Consider the following 24,158-nt stretch of genomic DNA (forward strand, 5'->3'; position numbering starts at 1 on the left):
AGGGTAAAAATAAATGAGTGGCTTTATGACCACTATGTAAATTCTGGTCTTCTAAATGGCCACTGCTAAAGGAGGTTGTTCGGGATGACACAACCCTTTCTCCATCATGAAAACAGACCAACTTTTCCTAAGTAGAGACTGCATAGATTTATTGAAATCACATTCTATATGCTGAGGGATTTTTGTTTTGTTTTGTTTTTCTTAAGCTGACTATTAAAAACAAAGTAAGCCAGAATTAGATTAAAGAAAGGAAAAATTGACCTTTAATGAGAAAACCAAGAGGGCAAAATTTTTTGTGTCTCATTTTTTAGCACTCAATAATTGCAATTAAATATTCAGTTTACTTCATCCCCATAGGCTCCTTGGAAGCAGAACTGTCTATTTTCTTCATCACTGTATTCTAGCCTTTAACACATAGTAAGGGCACAATAAAAAGAGCGGTGGTAGGAATCAATGCATGAGTGAATGAGTAAAAGACAAGTTGTGTGGCTAGACTATTGTGAGTCTGGAGAAAGTGGATTTTTTTAACATTAAAGGATGAGAATAGGAATGAATGATATAGGGAAGAGATGAAATGGATATGTTTGTATCTGGTCTGAGAGTCCACTTCAAAATGAACATTCCCTCTTCAGAGCACCCATGCATTGCTCATGTGCTGCTATTGCACCCATCACATTGATTTGTTATAGCTCCTAGGGGTTACTTAGATGGATTAGTTCACCTTTTTATTTCCAGCATAGAGTGTGGCACATTAGAAGTATCCGAAGTGCATTTATGTATACACTGACTCATACTGGATGAACAGTATCATCATCGCCCAATCCTAAAGTCTTGCCCCGTTTAAGGAGCTTTGAGGTATTATTGTCTTGAAAACTCATGGAAATGGAAATAATGCACAAGAAGCAATGTCTGAAAGAGTCAGGCATTCAGCAAACACAATTTTTTGTAAAATTTGAAAACCCAAACCACAGTATGACATTAAGAAAACACAAATATTACTTAGCCAAAAGAAAAACCATTTTGAAATTTTTCATAAAATATTTAGAAAGAAAGAACTTGGAGCCTGGAGCAGTAGAGTGAGAAATAAGGAAGGAATATGTGGGAGAGAAGAGAAAGGGAAAAGAAAGTGCATCAGATTTTTTATTGTTATTAGCACTAAACTGGTTTGCTTTGGGCCCTTAGCCAGGGTTGCTTTTTAAAACTATCCAAATATTTTTTTTAAAAATCCTCAATGATATTTATATGTCTACTAACATTTCAGTTGTTTTTATAGGGTCAGTGATATTAAGGCAAATTATTCAGATTCACATGGTGAACAAAGGCACTTCATAGAATTCTTGGACTACTTAGAGAATCAGAGAGATACTTTCTCTAGCTGCTACTTCATTTGTGGCCTTAGAGAAATAATGCATTAATCTCCAATTAGATCATGTCATCTTTCAGGATGTTTAGCTAAGGTGAAATGTGTAATTAAACATTTTAAATTGCATGTCACCTCCACCCACAGGGTTGACACATGTTTTCTTTTTGGTATAGTTTTGTGTAAGGATTCACTCAGTATATCCAGAAGTCACCTTGACCATGAAAATAAATCTGCTGCAAATTACAGCCTCACAATTAACTCAAACATTATCATCTATTATTTGTGTTCTCTGACTTGAGGAGCAGGTATTTGATTTTTTTCCACTTTTTACTTATTAACATAACTTTTATATTTGAATATATAGTAATTTTTTAAATTACCAAAATGATAGCAGGTATTAAGTGACAGTCTTCAGAATGATCCTATGTGGTACCCTGTGTAGCTTTTCTTATAATAAAAATATACATGGAACATCAGAGAGAGAGAGAGAAAGAGAGAAAGAAAAATATATGTAAATATCTTTTTAATATTGAGCTAATTTAAGCTTCATCAGTTTGTTGTGCATATGATATTTACCCTACAGATTTGTTTTCAATAATGGTATACTATGATGAATAACTTTAAATAGAAGTATTTTTCATTTAGAACTTTGTTGAATATTAGCACATGAGGGAAAAATAAAATATGTAACTCATCTATCTGTGTAAAATAATAAATGCTAGATCTAAAGGAGCCATTTGCTAAAATGTACTTAAACAAATGCATATTGCCTGCATTATATTTCTCTACTCTTTTATTGCACTATTAGTCAGAAATTTAAATTCTATTTTTGAGCTTGTGATTATCCTGAATACTAAGTGAAAGGGAAGTGATGATGGAATTTTTATTTTAATGATAACAACAGTTTTCAAGGGAGATAATCAAAATCTTTTTCTGAAGTTTGAAGATGAGAAAACTGTGTAAATCCATCTGCTGAGTTCATGTGCCTTTTGAGATTTGCTTTTCTGTCTTTTAATTTCACATTTCTGGTTTTTAAATTATTTCTCCTATAAAAGAATTTTTTGATGTCATTAATGCCGTTTCATTTTGAAATGACGGTTAAACAGAGTTTCTAATAATTCAACAGTTCTGTTTGGTTTTGTACAACATGTTATATTCAGGTGATATCTGAATGATCAACTGGATCAAAATTCAGAAGACAAGAAAAGCGTTGCTTGATCGATTTTCAAACACACATTCAGGTTTTGTCCATAGATCTTGAATGCCATAACACCAGTTGTGCCTCAGGGAAAAGCATATGCTTACTTGTCACATAGATTTTTAGTTGGTATGTTAGACCATTTGGGTCATTATAACAAAATACCTTAGACCGGGTAATTTATAAATAACAGAAATGTATTACTTACAGTTCTGGAAGCTGGAAACTCCTGGATCAAGGCCCTGGCAGATTCTGTCTGGTGAGAGCCCATTCCTTATGGTGGTAACTTCTATATGTCTTCCCACCACAGAAGGGGTAAGCAAGCTTCTTGGCCTCTTTTATAAAGGCACTAATTCCATTCATGAGGGCAGAGCCCCCCCAAAGGCCCACCTCTTAATGCCATTTTTGGAGACACAACATTCAAACCACAGCAATTGGTTTTAGTGTCATTGAACTACAAGCTTTATAAGGACCAGAAAGAAACTTTTTTTTTTGCCCTTAACCTAACAGTTTTCTGGGTCCATGCGTTTTATTTTCTGCCAAGATATTTGTGTGTGTGTGTGTGTGTGTGTGTGTGTGTGTGTGTGCATGTAGAGAGAGAGAGAGAGAGAAGCACTCAAATGCAATGTCTGCACTATCAATTGCATTTTCCCCTATCTTTTGAAATTTCAAGTTCAAACTCGTAGTTTAATATTTTTCTTTGGCTGAAAATAAATGAGTTGATCTGTGTGGAATGGGGTGATAAAAGAGGTCAAGGTGTGTGGGTAAGGATGGAAACTTCTATAATATGAAAAAATACTGCAATGAAGGTGCAGTATGAGGGTGCTTTACTTCTCTATTGAACACAGATACTTTTTGAATGGAAATGTGGTATGTAGTAATTTGGGAGAGAGTATCTTAGTAATAATGGAGTACCAACATTGACAGAATGACTGGTATGGGGGGGCAGAATGTGCATTTAATAAATATTTCACAAAAGTGCAATAACAGTCTGAGAAATACCTGGAACATTTTAACATAAGATATTAATATAAAACACAGACAAATAATCTGGAGACACACTTATTGAGTTTGAATCCTAGCTCTTCTCCTTTTTTTTTCCATGATGGGCAATTTGTTTAACTTCCCTGAGCCTCAGTTTCCTCATGGGTAAAATTGGGGAAACAGTAGCATCTATTTCATTAAATTGTCTTGATGGTTAACTGAGTTAATATCTCTCTCCCTACCCCTGCTAGAAAGAAAACTTGAGGAGGTTTTAACGTGTTTCAGGAATGTGGCCCAAACACCTGAAACAATGATGAAAATCATTTTAAACTTAAAATAGGCATCAAAAATGAAAAAAAAAAAGTGTTTATTGTCAAAAATAATGACATTTGTGCAGAGGTTCTGTATTTTAGTAGCCAATTACTCTGTAATATTTATTGAGATTTGACTCCGTATATATAAGGGAGTTTCAAAAAGCTTATGGAAAATGTAGTTAAAAGATAAAATTAAAAATATAAACTTTATTTCTTGACATAAGTTCTATCAAGTTCAAGAAACTTTTGTACATGAAGAACTAAAGTTCCTGGGAATTTAAATGTACTCTAGAGCAGTTAAATGGAGTCTATTTTTCAAAACCCATCTAGGCCATAAAGCCTTTCCTGACTTGAAAAAGAAAGATCAAATAGGACAGGAGCCCCACATCAGTGATTTCAAGGAGAATGCACAGCAGAGTGAATATGGACTATATCCTTTGTCCATTTTATCAGAGGACTAAGGAGATAAGGTCAGAATCAGAAAAAGATTTGCTGTTGAAAGTCACATTTGTTGATTCCACTGGCTGTCCACTGTTTGAGGGAGACTGATGGGCAAACATCTGCTTAGTTTTTCTATCAATTGTCAATTTACCGGAAAATATACCCATGTGCCTTGATTATTAAGAAGAACACCTAAAACCGGTCACAGTGGCTCATGCCTGAAATCCCAGCCCTTTGGGAGGCCCAGGCAGGAGGACAGCTTGAGTCCAGTTGTTCAAACTATCCTGGGCAACATGGTGAGAGCCTGTCTCTATTTTAAATAAAGAAGAAGAATACCTAAGAAGTAGTTACTTTTTTTCCCTACTTTCATTTTCTCCTTAAATAAAAGTGCTTTCTAAGTATTTTAAAGAAAACTCTTCTTTCTCATCCTGCCTCTTGCTGAAGCACTTACGACGTTCAAACATTAAGCATAATACTTACATTATTTCAACTAATACAAAAACTCTTTGGGATGAATTTTATTGACTTTATTTTGAAGCTTTAAAATGAACTCAGAAAGATTAAGTAATTTGTCTGTGATCACACAGCTAGTAGGAGAGTAGAGCCAAGGTTGGATCCTGTTTCTTTTTAAAGGAAAAGCTTATATTCTTTGCATTTCTTTGGGAGTCAAATAGCGTGCTGAACTGAATCACTACATGGTTTTTGTTATTGTTACTGTTGTTGTTGTTATTTTGGGTTGTTAAGGTCCTGTGCACATTTTTTTTTAAACCTGGAGATCTTAATCTTGTAAGGTGTTTTCAAATAATACTCACAAAATAAGTAAATAAAGAAATCCTACAAAATGTAGAAAATCAGTAACATTATACCAAATTGTTTGGTTCAGAAATTGCTTAAGACTTTAAAATCAGTTGACCCAATCTGTAATTTTATTTGCTTTCCAGCCTTCAGATAATTTTCAAACAAAAGAAATAACTAAAAAACTTTAATTTCTCTTTTCCTTTAAATTCTTGCATAGTTTCATGTGAGATCATAGCCTGTTATAATTCTGTTCAAACTAATTTTTATGGAAAAAAACCATTTTTGAGTGTACTTTTCATCTTTCTTTGTGAAGAAAGTTATAAGATAAAGATTTATCTCCCTTCTCCAAGTGTCCTTTAATAAATGGATTATGCTTCTGAAGCCCAGGTAGTTTCAAGCAACAGCACAAACACTGCACACAAGAGCTGTCACTTAGAAATGAAGTAATCAATAAACACTTCAAATTTCTTTTTAAAATTTATTTCACAAATCCAAACAAAACAAGTTTGTCTATAAGTTCCTTGCCATGTTTTTTTTTCTTTTTTTCCCCTGTTTATATAATTCTTATTTAGTCCCTATCAGTTATGTTCAGGAACAGGCCAAAATCAATCAAAACACAAACAAGGCCGGGAGCCATGGCTTACACCAGAAATCCCAGCACTTTGGGAGGCTGAGGTAGGTGGATCACCTGAGGTCAAGAGTTGGAGACCAGCCTGGCCAACATGGTGAAACCCCTTCTCTACTAAAAATACAAAAATATGCTGGGTGTGGTGGCACACACCTGAAATCCCAGCTACTCGGGAGGCTAAAGCATGAGAATCACTTGAACCTGGGAGGCAGAGGTTGCAGTGAGTCAAGATCACACCACCACACTCCAGCCTGGGTGACAAAAGCAAAACTCTTTCTGAAGAGAAAAAAAAAAAACTATGCATTATTGTTTATGGTGATTGAGTTTTATTACTTGCAGCTGTAATTTGAAATAAAGGAAACCACACTATGCTTAACCTCATTTTGGATCATTTACGCAAACGTGGAAAACTTTCAAGATCTGTATAGTATCTGAGAAAAATATTTAGAGGGCTTACAAGTCTACTTTTTTTTTGATATGTGAAAAGATTTCCTACATAAATATTCTTATAATATGCTAACTCAAACTTCATTCTTTCATTTTTCAGCAAATTATTCAGTCAATCCATTTAGTTACTTTGCAAACTGATAGAAAGCTGTCAATATCTACAAACTGATAAAAAGCTATAAAACTGCAGCATAAGGGAAGCCCATTTGCATTCAGCTGAGTTTAACTTGAATACCTAGATAACTTCTGGAAATTTGAGAAGCTACCTAAGCTGGAATGCGCAAATGTAGCTACCTGCTTACCTCACAGTTATTGTTATGAAATAAAAGACTAAAACCTTAAAAAAATACAGCATGTATATACGTAATTTATATATGCATGCTGTATTGAGGGAAACTCGGGAGATGTTCCAAAGTGTTGAATCAGCTAGAAGAAAGATTTTTTTAACTAAATATGTATGTTCATAAATATATTTAGAATAAAATTATAGGTAACTGCAAATATAATAGCTTAAGATGTTTGTTTAGAGTTACTGAGATAATCTTATTTTAAAATTTGTAATTTAAAAGCTACCTTACATAAAAATACTGATTTTATTTTGCTTCAAATTTGTTCTTTAATTTTTTTGTACACATCTGATATCACAAAAACATTGTTTATGAATTGGCACTGCTACCTTAAAATGTAAATGAGGGGGAACTTCGCCATAGATATCCATTATTCTGTTGGACAATTCTAGCAAGAGACACCTAAAAAGGAAGAATAAGTCAAACATAGAGGTTCTAGCCTCTTATTACAAACAACAGCTGTCAGGGCTTCTTAAGAATATGTGCCCATCAGAGAAGGCTGCTGAGTTCTTCTGTGTCTGAAATTAATAAAAACGCAGTTGCAATGCCAGCTATGTAAGCCAGGGAGGAACTCGGTGGAAAAGTGAGATAACAGGGGAAATGTTTTTATGTCTTTGGAGCTGTAAGTGCATTTCAATGTTATGCCATGATCAGAAGGGCCATATGAAGCAATTTTGTTTCTGAAGAATTGTGGTTATAGAGTTTGAACTGCAGGTATCAGTAAACAAATAAACACTACTGGTGATTTTGAAATTGATACAAAGCCAAAGTTAGGAAAAACTGCATTCCAGAACTGTTTTAAAATGTAATATAAATTCAAAGTTCCAAAATTTATATATTTTTAAATTCTTGGTTTTTTAAAATTTTACCGTCTAATAGTCAATACATTAGTGAAGAAATTTAATAAAAATGGCAACTTTACCACTCATATGTTTTTCTGGGAGTTATGCTGGCTTTTGTTTTAACCCCATTTGAACCCATTCTTTTAGGTAGATTTCTTTCTAAACATTGGCCTTTTCAGATTTTCTCTAAATATGCATTTCAAGTAATAACTTGAATTTCAGGAATTTTTTGGTCATATTTTTCTGCCACAATTTAAATATATACAGCAATCTGGCAATATAGTGACCTGCAAAATCAGTGCTCATTTCTTGAGTGAATAAGTAAATATGTTTATAATTTGGAAAATAGAAACACTTTTCTGACTCAATCTTTATCCCTAAGTTTCCCTTATCTTAAAGAAATGCCAAACAACAACAACAGCAACACCAACAACAAAACTGAGTTCCTTTAGCATGAATGAAACCATTTGGTGAGCTAAATGTAACAAACAAATGTTCTCGCGTGCTTCCTGCTCTGGGACATCCCAGGCTCTTGAAGAGGACCAAGTTCAGAGCGGCACCATCAGTGTCATGTTATGAAGGGGGCTGCAGGATCCGCAGGTACCCAGGAAGGATTCTCACTTACATCAATAGGGTTAGAGATGGCTTCTGGGAGATGTCACCTGGAATATGGAACACTTTTGAAAATTTTCAAGTGAAAAAAACTTAACCTAGCTAAAAGTTTTAAAGAAGGACCTACCATGTTTTTTTCCTGTAGAACTAAAAATATTAGTTTATACTTGAATTGCAAGAATGTCTATTAGCCCAGTGGTCTGTGTTCACATGTTAGCACTTTGGAGCATACGGTAGAGGTGGAAAGCAATATAAAACTATCAGAATTGTTTTATATAGCCCAATATGGCTCTGTCATCCATTAATTTTCTAAAGTTTTCTTCAAAAACACGTATATATTCATTCTACCTTTCTGAAGTAGTTTATTTCTGTACTCAAAATGCCCATTGAGTATTTTTTTGTTGCTGTTTCCTTAAGTTTGCTACTTCAAGCTTTATTTTTTTTAAGAAATTTTTTTTTTAGAAAAAGTTTCTCACTTTGTCATGCAGCCTGGAGTGCAGTAGTGTGATCACAGTTCACTGCAGCCTCCAACTCCTGGGATCACTTCCTACCTCAGCCTCCAGAGTAGCTGGTACTACAGGTATGCCCCACCTACCCACTGGCTAATTTTTTGAATTTGTATTTTGTGGCGACATAATCTTATTGTGTTGCCCAAGCTGGTCTTGAACTCCTGGCCCCAAGTGATCCTCCCACCTCAGCCTCCTAAACTGCTGGGACTACAGGTACCAGCCACTGCTCCCAGCACATTCCACACTTTAAATAGTTCTTACCCTCTTAAATTCTAATGATGCAAGATTTCTGTGACCACGTTCCTATTGAACCAATTGGCTGCTTTCATGTCTTCATGAAAATTGATCATACCTTTTTGTCTTTGTAGAAGGAGAAGATTTTATCTTTGTAACTATGTCTCCTATAGTAGGTTGATATTTCCCTGGGTCGCAAGCAGTATGGCATATAAACATGAGAAGGTAGTTATAGAATACATTGCTTAACAATGAGCAATTCTTAGGCATTACTAATGACAACTTGAAACTATTTAGGCAGAAGGGCTCTTAGTACAGATAAAATGACCATCCTTCCAGAAGATATAAGCTGTATAATTGAACTGGAATAATTGTTGAACATGGTATCCTTTTCTTTTCTGCTTGATATGTCATATTTTGGCAAATGGACATAATCATTTACTAAGTAGCTGATATTATACTTTAGCAACTTCACAGTGACAACTTTTTGACTCATAAGTTACTAAGAACCAATCAAAGATAAAAGGTAATATTATAATATTCTTACAATTTTTTAATGTCACATAATTCTATGTAACTAAATTGTATTGAGACGAATGTATCGGATTATGTTGTTTGTTGTTTTATAGGTTTCTTCTCGTTTTTGTTTTCTTTTGTTGTTGTTTTGCTTTGTTTGGCTTGGTTTGGTTTGAGTTTAGGTTTGCTTACTTCAGTGTTTTGGACTGTGCTGACATAGAGAGTCTACACACAAGTTTGGGTCACTCAGCTAACTTAAGGAATTATCTCAATGAGGCTGGGTATATAATGGAGCAAACATACATATGAACTATCTAATATGATTGTTACAAACGTTAAATAACTTAATACGAGGTAAAGTATTTTGACCACTGCTTGGTACGCAGTAATCATTCAATAGCATTCTTTCTTTTTTTTTTTTTTTTTTTGAGTCTTATAATTAATAATAGCATCACTTCGTGGGTCACGTACCTTTGCTTTTCTCTTGTGCAAACTTATCCTTTATAGCCTAATGATCAATAAATATTGGACATCAGTACTAGAAAACTATCTCAATGTTTATGACCTAATTACATCAACCAAGTGGGTAAATTTGTAAAGAGATTGGACCAATTGAATAAGTATATATATGTGAGGTGTGTGCATTTCCATCTTGTGTGGTGGGGGAGAGAGAGAGGTTGGCCTGTGTGTATTCTCATTCGTAATCTCTATAGGATATTCTAAATCTGAGCTGTCATTTAAATTATGTTTTAATAATGTGGCTCATAGGTACAAGGAATTTGATTAATCAGAATTGGAAAGAAAAAATTGTGTAGCTTAACTTGTACATCTTTGTTTCCCTGAAATCTACTCACCATGCCACAGCCAAAAATGATGTTTCAAAAATTCAGGTCTGATCAAGTAGAATTGCCCACCCGGCTTAACAATTTTTAATGACTTCCTTTTTCATTTTATTGTGGTAAGAAGAGTTAACACAATATCTCTAGAATTAATTCATCTTCATAAACTGAAACTTCATACCAATTGAACAACTCCCCAGTTCCCCTTGCCCCTAGTCTCGGGCAACCACCATTCCATTTTTTGATTCTATGAGTTTGACTATTTTACCTGTCTCATAAATTAGAACCATGAAGTATTTGACCTTCTGTGACTGTCTTATTTCACTTAGTGTAATATCCTCAAGTGTCATTCATGTCGCTGTATATTATAGGAATTCCTTCTCCTTGAATACTGAATAATATTCAATCGCATATATATATATATGACATTTTCTTATCCATTTATCTGTATTCTTAAAATATGTTTATCATAGGGAAAAACATCATGACATTGGTTTTTGCAATGATTTCGTGAGTCTGAAAATAAAATTACGGGCAACAAAAGCAAAAATAGCAAATGTGACTACATTTAGCTAAAAAGTTTCTGCACAGTAAAGGAAACGATGGCGTGAAAAGACTACCTACAGAATGGGAGAAAATGTTTGCAAACCATAGATAATGATGGGTAAATTTTTAATGTAGGAACTCCTACAAATCAATAGCAAAAAAAACACACTGACAACCCAATTTAAAAATGGCCTAAATACCAGAACAGACATTTCTTTAAAGAAGACATACAGTTAGCTAGCAAATATATGAAAAGATGCTCAGCCTCACAAATCATTAGGAAAATGCAAATCAACACCAGAGATATCACCTCACACCTGTTAGGATGGCCACAAACAAAACAAAAACAAAACAAACAAAAAAACAGATGCTGGCAAGGTTGTGGAGAAATTGAAACCCTTATATGCTCTTGGTGAAAATGGAAAAAGGGTTCAGCTGCTAAAAAAGCAAGAGGAGGCTTCTCAGAAAATTAAAAGTAGTGCTATTATATGATTCAGTAATATCACTCCTGGGATTTGGTCAAAAGAATTAAATCAGGATACCAAAGAGACATTAGCACTCCCATATTCATAGCAGCAGTATTCACAATAGCAAGATGTGGAAATAACCTAAATGTCCATTGACAGATGAATACATTTTTTAAATGTAGTATATACATACAATGGACTACTGTTCCACTCTCACTTTGCTTTCTGTGCTTCAGCTGTCCCCGGCACATGCTCACTCATTTTGGAGGAATCTTTGGCATTCTGAATCATCCTCCTATAACACTTTCCCATCCAGGCCCCACCCAACTAATTTTTAATCATAATTTAGATCTCAACACAAAGGCTGGCACAAAGGTAAGTCCCAAAAATATATGTAGGATGAATGAAAAAAAGATGAATGAATAATTAATTGAATGTGTATTTTCTCAGAGGCTCTGGAATAAAGTATAATTTGAAAAGTTTTCATTAGTAGTTTTTCCTCTATTTGAGTTAGTTTTATATTAGAATTATGTCAAAACCCAACTTAAAGCTTCCCTTTCTTATATTTCATAATCATGTATCTGAATGTTTAAGATTCTTAGCAGGGTAACAGAGAAAAGAAATCCTTTATGTGCTACTATTTTCTTTTAAAATTTAGGGTTACTGCATTAAGCAGGGGAGGATAATACATACTCTCTTTAGAATTTTGGACGATTTGAGATAAGGCCCAAAACTTAGCTCACTGAAAATGGAATTACTGCACATATCAAAACTACACTGAATGGTCACAATTGAAATAGTGAATATGCTGCATATGGCATAAACTATTTTACTATTTGTGCTCTAAAGTGTTATAAAACTGTAGTCATACAAAGATACTAAAGTTTAAAAATCTTAAAGTAAAAGAATTCCTGTAAGTGTTATGACCTTAATCCCCTGCAACTGTCTCAGTCTCCTCTCACAGCAGTCTTGGTTGTTTAGAGTGAGTAATTGAGACAAAAATAATTCTTTTGAAAGAAAAAACATTTGAGCCTCAAATGCTGATAACTTTTCTTCTCCTCTTAGAAGAGCAAAAAGAAAGAAAGATACAACCTCTGCACTTTACTTTTATATATAACAAGGTTGTTGTGGTCAAATAAATGTGAACAGTTTAGAATTCTATAAAATTATAAAATACTGATGTAAATAATAATATTTTATTATTAACTATTATTAATGCAAATATATTCTGATATGCCACTGAGGAAAGTGATACATTTTATGCACACTAAATAAAAATAGGCCCAATCTGACAATGAGAAATTATTCCTAATCTTATTTCTAAGCTTTGTAAAATTTGTAAATTTAAATGATTCAAAAATTTTATATTCACTTTAATCTTCCTCTATTTGTTAGTTCCTCACCATATTGGAAATCAATATTTGTTGTCTGATATATTTCTTAAATAATACGAATTAAATATTGTGAGATGTTTTAGGCCTTTAAGAGATATCATTTTTCCTTTTCAGTTTATGAAAATGCTAGTTGCCATTTTATATGTACAGATTAGGCAGCTACTATGAGCATAGAACAATAATACTAAGCAAGTGATGCACAACCTCTGCTCTCCTGGAGCATATAGTCTATAATCCTCTGTTTCCAGCTTCCTACTGAATATTTGTGCTTGATTTTCCTATTGGCATTTCAAATATATGATATTTAAGTTCAAATCAAATACATGTGTTCCCCTCAAATCTACATCTAGTGCTAATACTTACAATCTTTACAATTATAACCTAGTAAATCAAATATCACTTTAACTAGTCTTTGAGGGAAACCACTTTTTGAGAGTTTTCACAGGTGAGAAACAGGAGGCTTAATGGGGCTCAGCCACTTGCCAACAATCACATAGTTAATAAGTCCCAGAGCTGACACTTGAGCCAAGATCGGTCTCCAGGCCCCATTACCATCATGTGATACTCTCTCATCAAAGATCTCATGTTGCGTGGAGCCTAGTAAATCATCAAAAATATTCTGGAATAGGCTTGGTGCAGTGGCTCACACCTGTAATCCCAGCACTTTGGGAGGCTGAGGTGGGTGGATCACGAGGTCAGGAGTTCAAGACCAGCCTGACCAAGATGTTGAAACCCCGTCTCTACTAAAAATACAAAAATTAGCCGGGCACGGTGGCAGGCGCCTGTAATCTCAGCTACTCGGGAGGCTGAGGCAGGAGAATCGCTTGAACCCGGGCGGCAAAGATTGCAGTGAGATGAGACCACGCCACTGCATTCTAGCTTGGGTGATAGAATGAGACTCTGTCTCAAAAAAAAAAAAAAAAAATTATTGAATAAACGAATATAATTGACTTTTATTAATTCATAGTTCACATTTTTTTACTATATCTATTTTCTGTTTTGTTGACAAGGTAGTGGGAAGGGACCAACATTTGCTGAACATTAAACATTTACATTTATTTGTAATCATTTATTTGTTTATTTGTTTATTTTTTGTATTATTTATTTATTGTATTTATTTGTTATTATTTGAATCGTTTATTTGTCATATATCATCCCATCTTATCCTCTTAACTCTAAGATTGGTACCCTTATCATCATTTTAAAGAAGTGAAAACCCAAGAAATTGAACAATTTTCTCTAGGCCAGTGTGTGTTAAAGTCACACACTGACTTTAGACAGACAATTCCAAGTCTGCCTAATTCTAATGACTTAAATCTACTACACCATCTTGCTGATCCATTTTGCCTAGCAAACTATAGAGAGTAGTTTCCTTCTTCACATTTTTAGCGTTTCAAAAGATGTATGGCAAACATTTCTTCCATATTACTTATATCAGGTAAGTCAGAATAAAAAAGTTGATGAGGTGTCACCTATTTACTTACAGTGCCTCAGCCTGAACCCAGGAGCATGATTCAAAAATTCAGGCATGTGTGTTAATTTCCCACTACATCCTTTTGATATGATGTTGGAGAAAGCACTTATTCCTTCTGTATCCTACAGATACATATAAAGCATACCAAAAAGTTAATATTCATAAAAGCATTTTCTTGCCAAAAATAGATAAATTTAAGAGAAATCATTGTTGATTTCTGAGTTACATGTAAAGTCAATATATGCTGCTAAACTCTCTTTAACTTTTCCAGTATGTTACAGTTTTTAACAATCTGTTGTTCAAAAACTAAATACCAGAGGTATATAAAATATTAGATAATATTTGAGCATAAACTGTTGAAGGCAACAGCATAATTTTATTTCCTTATGCCATAATAGAGCATCACATCTCAGTCAGCCTACCCCAATGATGACATATTTTCTGAATTGTTTTTACCCACACATCTTATGCTCAATTTAACAAATATTTATTAAGTGCATAGTTGGCAAGGTGACACTATGGAGGAGATGAAAAAGACTAAGGTATCATTTGTGCCCTTGAGGAATTAATAATCTGACGGCAAAAGCTGACATGTATACAATCAACTGTAGTATTTGAAAGGATAAAGTAAGTCCTTTAATAGCAATATAAACTGCTCGGCTAGTATTGAGAGAGCAAGGCTAGAGGGCAGAGCAATGTGAAGCTTGGATTGAAGTGGCAGGATATTAAAGGCAAGACATCAGTTATGAAGCTAAAGCATATATAGGCAATAACATGATAACAGCCTGAATTAGTCAGTGGACTGATAGAATAGAAGGAAAAGGAATACCAGGGGCATTTCACTGGAAGAATCAATAGTATGTGACAATTAGATGTGAGAGTGGAAATTAGGAGGAGTCAAAGATAAATTCAAGTTTTCTTATCAGATACTGGGCTAGGAAACACAAAATAAGAAAACTGTGGGAGAAGCATATGACATTTCATTTGAGGTTTGTGGGTTTAATATACCAGCAAGCCATCTATGAGCAGATAGCCATCAGTGGGAAATTTGAGTCTACAGTACAGTAAAGAGACCAGCAGCAAAGATATACAGCATAGCAGTAATTGGAGTACATAGAAGATTATAGAAATAGGAAAGTGCCGAGGATAAAAACTTGGGGGAAATTAAACACAGATATGATAAAGGAAGAGTAAGCAGAAAAATACACTGAAGTAGAACACAAAACTAGAAAAAACAAAATGTGTGTGCATTGACACGGAACCAAAATTTTGAAACAAAGAGTGAAAAGAAGCTCAACAATATTAACAATGTAGAGGAGTTCGGAATTGAGAACGAGGTATGGGATTTGACAACCAGGACTTTTGTGATGACTTTAGTAGGATGGAATGGGGAACCTAGATTACTAAAGATTACATATCTATATATGGAAGTAAATGCATAAAAATTTACTATGAAAATTTAATTGTAAATAGGAGAAAGAGGAGTATATGGTTAAATAGGATGCAATGTGGAATTAATATTTTGACTCAGTATGGAGAAAATTGAACATACTTGTGAACCAGTAGGGAACAGAAATAGAGAAAAATGTAGCAAGAATTCTTAACCCAAAATCACGGATTAGGAGTCTATTAGGTTGTTTTTGATCTCCTGCAAGCCTAGGCAATATATTGAATGTACATGTAGTTTTATTGGAAGAGTCATCACATTCTCATAAAGATTCATACACCCCTCTAGCCCCCACCACCCTCAAAAGGAAACTTTGGAATCTCTGAAATATGTAGACAGAGTATTTTATGAGCAATGCCCAAGGGAACAAGATGAAATGCATTTGAGAGGATGTATATTCTACACTATTTCATTGAAAGTTCATCTGTGAATTTCAAGTGTTCCCTGTAAATTTAAAACACATTTAAAAGGAGTAACTCATATCTCTTAATTTACTCTGAATCTTGAGAAGAAAATAGATCTAAAAGGATCTCCACTGTATTCATTAGTTCAACAAATGATTGTTGAACACTTCCCAATCTGGGGCATGCATAGTGCAGAGTGTACTTCAACAATTAAGCAGGATACCTAATTAACCCAGACTTTAGAGGGACCATGCCAAAGTAGGGTTCAGTAATATTTTAGCAGACATAATATCTAAGCTCAGGCATGAAAAATCCATTCACTCAACAAATATTTATATGGTGCTCATATAGGCCAGATACTATCCAAGATGCTGGTATCATGTGTGTGAATAAGACAAAGTGCCTGCCCTCATGCATTGTATGAAAGAGAGAAAATAAACAAATGAACAAGTAAACAAATTCTATAATCATGTAGTGATAAGTGTTATAAAGAAAATATATATGCAGTGACCCTTCTGTATCCACAGGTTCAACATCCTTGGATTCAACCAATCATAGATCAAAAATATATTTTTTAGAATTTGAACATGTAGAGACTTTTTCATGTTCTATTTCCTGAACAATAGACTATAACAACTATTTACATGGCATTTACATTGTATTAGGTATTATAAGTAATCTAGAGATAAAGTATACTGGAAGATGTACGTAGGTTATATTCAAATACTACAACATTTTATATCAGGGTCTTGAATAGCCAAAGATTTTAGTATTTACAGGAGGTCCTGGGACCAATCCCCAATAGATACTGAGGAATGACTGAATAAGATAAAGGTACAATGGCAATGGAAGACTTCCCTACAAAGGTGACATTCGGAAAAAGACCGCAATAAATAAAAGAATAAGCCAGGTTAACATCCAGAGGAGGTGGAGGGAAGAGCAAATGCAAAGCCCTGGGTAAAAACATATCTTGGTTGGGCTTCAGGAATGACCAATGTGGCAAGAGCAGTTTGAGGAGGACAGAGAATGGTAGATAAGGCCAGCAGAGCCATTATGGGCCATGGCAGGGGATCAGGATAGGAATAAGTCAACTTGGGATTGGAAGGAGTAGCTTGGATTGGAAGGAGTAGCATGACTTATTCCAGAAGTTTGATTTGACTGTGATATAATGAGGGGAGTGTGGTGAGATGAAGTAGGAGAAGTCAGCAGGACCCAGGAAATAAAGGGCATTATAAACGTAAGTTATCATCAGAGCAAAGGTGAGCCACTGAAGATTTTAAATGGGGAGGTGACGTGCTTTATCAGTCTTGCATTTTGAGTATTGCATTTTCACTGGATATATTATAGAAAATGCCTTGGCAGATGATCAAGATTGTCTTCAAGGATAAAATTTACAAGTAAAGGCCCAGGATTCGATGTCTATTGCTCTTTCTACTAGTACTTTCTTTCCTAATAATGGGAATGATTATGTACTCAAGTATATTAGGAAAATTAATCTGAAACTGGTGTTTCAGATGAAGGGGAAGTAGAAGATTATTCCAGAGTTTGTTACAGTATCTAAGTATAAAGTGGTAAAGATCTCAGTCAGTCCACTCAATGTATTAATGATGGAAATTGAGAGAAAAAGGTGAGTTGCTGCTAGAGTCATAGAAGAAAGAATTGATAGACTTGTGCCTGATTACAGAAAGAAAGGAAAAAAGCAAAGATGACCTCATGTGGTATTAATGACTAAAGACATTGTTATTTGTATTTGTGGGCCTAGCCCATTGCAAACCTCCAATAAACCCTACTTAAAGTGAATAAATGAACACAGGACCAAGTGAGAAATAAAGAAAGCAAGGTTATGGGAACTGGTTTTAGTTTTAGGCATCTTATATTTGAATAGAATGGGTAAAGACAGTTGCCTAAATTTTAAAAGGTTATCAGTATATTAGTTTCATTTTACATCCTGGACTAACTCAGTAGTATTATAAACATGAGTCAGTTTAGCTAGGTGCACCTATGTTTCAGCAATACACAGAAAAAAAATAAGACAGAGACATGTTTAAGAGCAAGGTCTTGAAGCGTGATAGCCAGGGTTCAAATCTCAGCTCAACTTCCTGTTAGTGTGACCTTGAGAAAAGTATGTAATTGTTATATTCCTATTATCTTCTTCAGAGGATAGCAAAGATGTGATAAATAATCTGCTACCACTAGCCTTTAGCACATACACTATAAATCAGGTTTGCAGATCAAAGACATCACTGAGTAACTTAATTACCCAAGATTCTCAACCGAGAAATAAACCCAATATGGCTTATTATGAGCTACACATTTTAATTGGATTAATTACCCAATCCTCATAACAGCAATGTTGGAGATTTACTATTATACCCATTGTTTTTGTTTGTTTTCTAGATGATGAAATCAAGAATTATAGCTAAGTAGGTGGATCACCTGAGGTCAAGAGCTCAAGACCAGCCTGGCCAACATGGTGAAACTCCATCTCTAATAAAATAAAATTTAAAAAAATACAAAAAGTTAGCAGGGTGTGATGATGCATGCCTGTGATCCTAGCTACTCAGGAGGCTGAGGCAGGAGAATTGCTTGAACCCAGGTGGTGGAGGTTGCAGTGAGTTGAGATTGCACCACTGCACTCCAGCCTGGGCAACAGAGTGAGACTATGTCACTGTTCAATAGATCATGTGAGTTAAAAATTTTCTCTCATCATAATTACTTTCAGCAAATCTCTAGACTAGATTCCTTTCTTAACCAAATTTATCTTATAAAGATGTCCAAACTTCTTTTGAATAATTTAAAAATAAAATTTGAAAAATAAATTTACAAAAGATAAAAGAAATACATTCATCTGTCCTCACTAACAAAGGACTAGAGAAAGTGAAGGCAATTCAGTTGAACAAAAACAGGTTGTTAAAATTCACAGCATAGTCTGTGTTGAGATTTTAGAAATAATAAAAAAAAGAGTAGATGCATTGTTCCATGGATTAAATCAGACAAGAGAGCTAAGCTTTTCAATTCACTTTTCTGAACAATTCACAAAGAAAAATTATATAAAGTTTCTTGTGTCTTTCATTTCACATTGAATAATATGGTAAACAATTTTTCCTAACATTTTTGATAAGAAAACAAACAAATTTTATTTTTAATAATGAAGCTAAAACGTGTATTTCTACGTATTTTATACTATTTTAACTTTGTGATTCTAGAGGCAAATAAAGTCTTATGATGGCTTGACTTGGACTATATATTATAGCAGAGGCAATGTATAATGAAAAGGGCACTTTTCACTGACTAGACTGAGAATCAATAGATATGAATGATACTTCAACTATACTACTAATACGCTGTGAGACTTTGGGCAAGTAAATTCAATTTCTGAACACTGTTTTCAAGGAAGGGAATCATTGACCCCTTTTAAGGGTCTGGTGAAAATGCATAAACATGTATAATTTTACAAAATATTTCAGGAGGTTTGCAGACTTCTAGGAATTAAAGTTCCTATTAATAGGTAATTAAATGAAGAAATACATAATCCTAATGTCTGTTTTACATTCTGTTTCTAATACAATTTGTAATCATTTAATTGTAAATGATTTCTTAAACTAAGAACAAACAATTGAACGGTGTAGGTGAAAGTCTCGCTCTTCTATTTTCTCCCCCATTTGCTGCCTTTGACCTTTTAAACTAAGATTCTTCTTATGTAAATATCATGTAAGATATCTTGCCACAAAGAATATTTCAGTGTAATTATTCCTTAAATATTCATGTCTCAGGTAATTAGCTGATATATCATCTGTGATTTGCTTATACGTAAGGTCAAAAACCTAAGGTAATGCATCATAAACTAATCATTTATATTTTCTTTGCCAAGGTTCACTGAATCTTTTAACCTACATTGACTACGATAAAGTTAATTTTCCATATTAAAGTAATATTCAAATTAGACTTTTAAAAATTATGCTATGGGAAAAAACGAACACACAGAAGTTAAAATTAAGGGTGCCATAAGCAAATAACTTGGCAGCTTTTCTCAGCAAAAAAAAAATATATATATATATATTTATGAGGCACATTTCTCTAAATTATTTAAGTTGGTGTATTAAACCAATTTATATCTAATCCAGTGAAATTTATGTCACATATGTTCATTAGGAGAAAATAATTGATAAATTAAGAAACACTTCACTGTGAAAAATCTATTAATATTCCTAACTCATTCGATTTTTTTTTCACCTTTGAGTTTTTATGAACTTATTTCTATGCCATAACAATATAATATAGATAAGTATAAAATACATACGTTTGGCTTAAGTTATATCCCCACCAGTCTCCCTATCAAATAAAGGGTGCCAGACAGTCTGCTATCTGCATTTATCTCTAAACTGAGAATAACTAAAGGATTCAGAATTTTATGTAAACATCAAGACAATGGGCTTAAAATAATTGAATCTTACTCTACAATAATCGAACTTAAAGTCTCAGAGAAATATGTTAGTTAGGACAAACGTATTTTGCTTTCCCATTAGCCTCTTTACCTTCTATTTTTCATCAATTTGTTTTGCCCAATCGGGTTTTATTTACACCTTTTTAATAAACTACAACAACTCTAACAACTGTTTCTTTTAAATTTATTTTTTAATTCACAGGAAAAATGATATGTATTTACATGCACAACATGATGTTTTGAAGTCTATGTACATTGTGAAATGACTAACACTAGCTAATTAACATATGCATTACCTCAAATAATTACTGTTTTTGTGGTAAGAACACTTTACATCCACTCTTAGTATTTTTATGACTACCTCATATTATTAACTATACTCACCATGTTGTACAGTAGATCTCCTGAACTTATTCCTTCTAACTGAAATTTTGTTTCTTTTGGTCAACATCTCCCCAGCCCAACATCTAAACACCCCAGGCCCTGATAACCGCCATTCTATGGAGGCTTCTCAAGAAATTAGAAATAAAACTACCATATCATCCAGCAAGCCCATTACTGGGTATATATCCAAAGGAAATGAAACCAGAATGTCAAAGGGGTATCGCCATTCCACTACATATTGCAGTATTAATCACAGTAGCCAATGTATGGAATCAACCTAAAGAATGTTTTTAATGACAAACAACCAGGAACACATTTTGTTAATCTAATGTGCTCCAACTTACTACACAGGTTGACCTTGCATAAAAGTAACTTTACAAGAATATTAGCACTAAATAATTCCTAACATCTTGGAGACAATTTTCAAAATAATGCGTTTGTTTACTCATTCAAGATGTATTTACTGAGCTACCACTGTTATATGCCAAGTGATGTTCTAGGTCCTAGACATGTAGCAAAAACCAAACTGAAAAAAAAATTAACTCTTGTAGATTTTCAAAGCAACTATAGCAGCAAGAGGAAGAGACGAACACCAAAAAAAAAAAAAAAAAAAAAAATATATATATATATATATATATATATATATATATATATATATATATATATGCAGTCATGTCTTAGTGACAAGGATATGTTGTGAGAAATGCATCATTAGGCATTTTGTCATTGGGTGAACATCATAGAGTGTACTTACACAAACCTAGATGATATAAGCTAACTATATACATAGGCTAGATGGTATAGCCTATTGCTCCTAAGCTCAAAACCAGTACAACATGTTACTTCAATGAACACTGTAGACAATTGTAACACAATGGTAAGTATTTGTGTATTGAAACATAGTACAGTAAAAATATGGTATTATAAGCTTATGAGACCATCATCTTAAATGCAATTCATCATTAACTGAAATTTTATTATTTGGTGCATAACTATATTGGATAATGATAAGTGCTATGAAGAAAAATATAGCATTACTTATAAATTAAGAAAACAGATCAATCTACTAAACATCAGGTCTTCCGAAAATTATTATTATTATTTTATTTTTATTTATTTATCTATTTATTTTGTGATGGAGTCTTGCTCTGTCGCCCAGGCTGGAGTGCAGTGGTACGATCTCAGCTCACTGCAAGCTCTGCCTCCCGGGTTCACGCCGTTCTCCTGCCTCAGCCTCCCAAGTAGCTGGGACTACAGCCACCCGCCACCATGCCCGGCTAATTTTTTGCATTTTTAGTAGAGACGGGGTTTCACCATGTTAGCCAGGATGGTCTCGATCTCCTGACCTCGTGATCCGCCCGCCTCAGCCTCCCAAAGTGCTCGCATTACAGGCGTGAGCCACCGCCCCCGGCCCTGAAAATTATTTTTTAAACCAATATAATAGTTATTCCTGAGAATAGGTACAAGAATTTTTTTAATCATGATAAATTTCATATCCTACCCCTCTTCATTCCTGCCTCCACCTCAATCCATTCTTCAAAGAGCAACTAAAGAAATTAGATCGTCCAGAGGCTTCTCGTGATCCTCCTTGCATAGACCCTTCAGCACAAACTCACCCATGCCCGCCTCCAGCTTCATCATCCTCCGTGTTTCTCTAAACTCACTATATTCAAGCCATAGTAACTTTTTATTTTTTTAAGTCTGTCAAACGTTTAATGCTCCTTCCTGCCTTGGGTCTTCACACATATATTGTTCCCACGTTGCGCCCACCCCCACCTCCCTGATCCCACCCCACCCCCAAACCCGACTAACTCCTGGTCACTTTTTAATACCGAAGTGTGATTTCTGCATGGAAGCCAGTTCTCCATGAGGTTCCTCTGTTTTCACTCTTCAAGGGTCTTTACCTATCCTTTGGGAACTTACTACTATTTAAATTATGTAAACACTTATGTTATACTCTGTATATTTATCAAATACCCCTCCTCAGATTGCAAGTTCTGCAGGACGAGTTCAGAGAAGGGGTGGAGGCAGTTGTTTCTCTCCTTGGCCAGTGTACTTTCACTGCTTTGCACCCTGCCTGGCATAGACTAGGCATTTAGAAAATTGTTCCTGAGAGAATTAAAGAATAAATTTCATAAAAAATGTCTTCAGTTTACAACATGTAGTTTTATGCAACACTTGGCAAAGTGGGTTCTGGTGGGAGCTGGTAATATCCTTTAAATCATGGGACTGAGCAAATGATTCTAGTTGAATCTGTGTTATTTAATCTGTGTTTTTAAATCTGTGAGGCTCTTGCCCCAGACTCTACTTGAAGTCTGCTGTGCTTGCCTGTAAGCTCATAATCCCAATGACAGATGGTTTTTAATCTTTGCTATTTGGCTTCTAGAATGGGTATGTATTACTAACTCATGTATTTTCTCTAACATGTAGAATCTGATTCTGGTGGCCATTCCCTCTGAGGAATAAGATACTTTCTGGGACTTGTAGCCATGGGAGAAAGGTTTAAAACACTTTCAGAGAGTTGAGGGGAAGCCACTTTATGCTTGGAATCATTGTTGAAAAAAATTCAATTATGAAAAATCACAAATGGGTAAAACCATTAAATAATCCCAGATAGCAGTAGCTCAGGGCATTATTGTTTAATCATCTCATGCTCAATATTCTAAAGGACACACACATACACAGCAAACAAACAGTGTTGGTGATGTTTTCTGTGTTTTTTAGAGTGAGAAATTAGAATTATTTTTGAGGACTGGAAGAATCTTTCCTCACTAACTAGCATATCCCAAATTTACACCATGACACTTACCAATTTATAAAAATATTTTATTTTATTTCCATATATGTCGCCCTAACTTCTTTAGAGGCATGAACCTATCTTTTCTCTTTTTTATCCCCAAGGACTGGCCAAAAAGAAGAAAAAAAAGTTTAAAATAGGCAATTAATATTCATTAAATAAATCACAGATAGTAAAGAAGTATTAAAAGCAGCCTGAGCTGGAGTCAACTATTTCTTGTCTGTATCAGCCAGGCAAAATGTTGCTCAGAAGCCATTCAGGGAATAAAACTCTCTTGTGAAGAATCTGTTCCTTTAAACTAAGGACTTACGTTTTCCCAAACCCTGTAAATTCCCATGTTTTTCTATATGGATTTATGCCAGAATCATTCCAATCCACTGGTTGGCGAAGAGAATGGTTTAATAACTGCAGGGGAAATGTAAAATTCTATTCAGAATATAATGAAAGCTGTATGGTATTATGTATTCATTTACCTTGTAGTAGGAAAACTCAAATCTTCAAATAACAGAGTGTTGCCATGTCAGCTTCCTCTGGAGAGTTGAAAACTAAACTGTAAAGACAGTAGAACGATGTGATTTGTATTGGAGTCACTGGAATCGACAAAACCTAAATTTTTTTTATAATTTATTTATTTCAATTAACAAATGACAAATTTTATAAACTAGTGGTATACAATATGATTTTAATGTATGCTCTACTATGCAAAGCCTCAATTCTTAATTGGTCTAC

At 34.3% G+C, this 24,158-nt stretch overlaps 1 protein-coding gene and 1 long non-coding RNA gene across 16 annotated transcripts in view; one reads left to right on the plus strand and one right to left on the minus strand.

Annotated features, from left to right (window-relative positions):
• The window catches only part of SYT1 (synaptotagmin 1), a 588,027-nt gene that overhangs the window by 88,709 nt on the left and 475,160 nt on the right, over nucleotides 1-24,158 (plus strand). For 6 of the 14 annotated variants that reach the window (XM_047429479.1, XM_047429484.1, XM_047429480.1 and 3 more), the window contains 2 exons: nucleotides 1,537-1,668; nucleotides 2,772-2,876. The exons of the other annotated variants lie outside the window; for them this stretch is intronic. The gene's annotated coding sequence lies outside the window, so the exon portion shown is untranslated. The remainder of the gene's footprint in view (nucleotides 1-1,536; nucleotides 1,669-2,771; nucleotides 2,877-24,158) is intronic. 14 annotated transcript variants of the gene reach the window in all.
• LOC105369863 (uncharacterized) overlaps nucleotides 1-24,158 on the minus strand; it is a 197,856-nt gene that overhangs the window by 47,667 nt on the left and 126,031 nt on the right. For both annotated transcript variants that reach the window (XR_007063385.1, XR_007063384.1), the window contains one exon: nucleotides 23,903-23,979. This is a non-coding gene — a long non-coding RNA (uncharacterized LOC105369863). The remainder of the gene's footprint in view (nucleotides 1-23,902; nucleotides 23,980-24,158) is intronic.

Source organism: Homo sapiens, chromosome 12 (genome assembly GCF_000001405.40).
Source record: "Homo sapiens chromosome 12, GRCh38.p14 Primary Assembly".
NCBI classification, from domain to species: domain Eukaryota; kingdom Metazoa; phylum Chordata; class Mammalia; order Primates; family Hominidae; genus Homo; species Homo sapiens.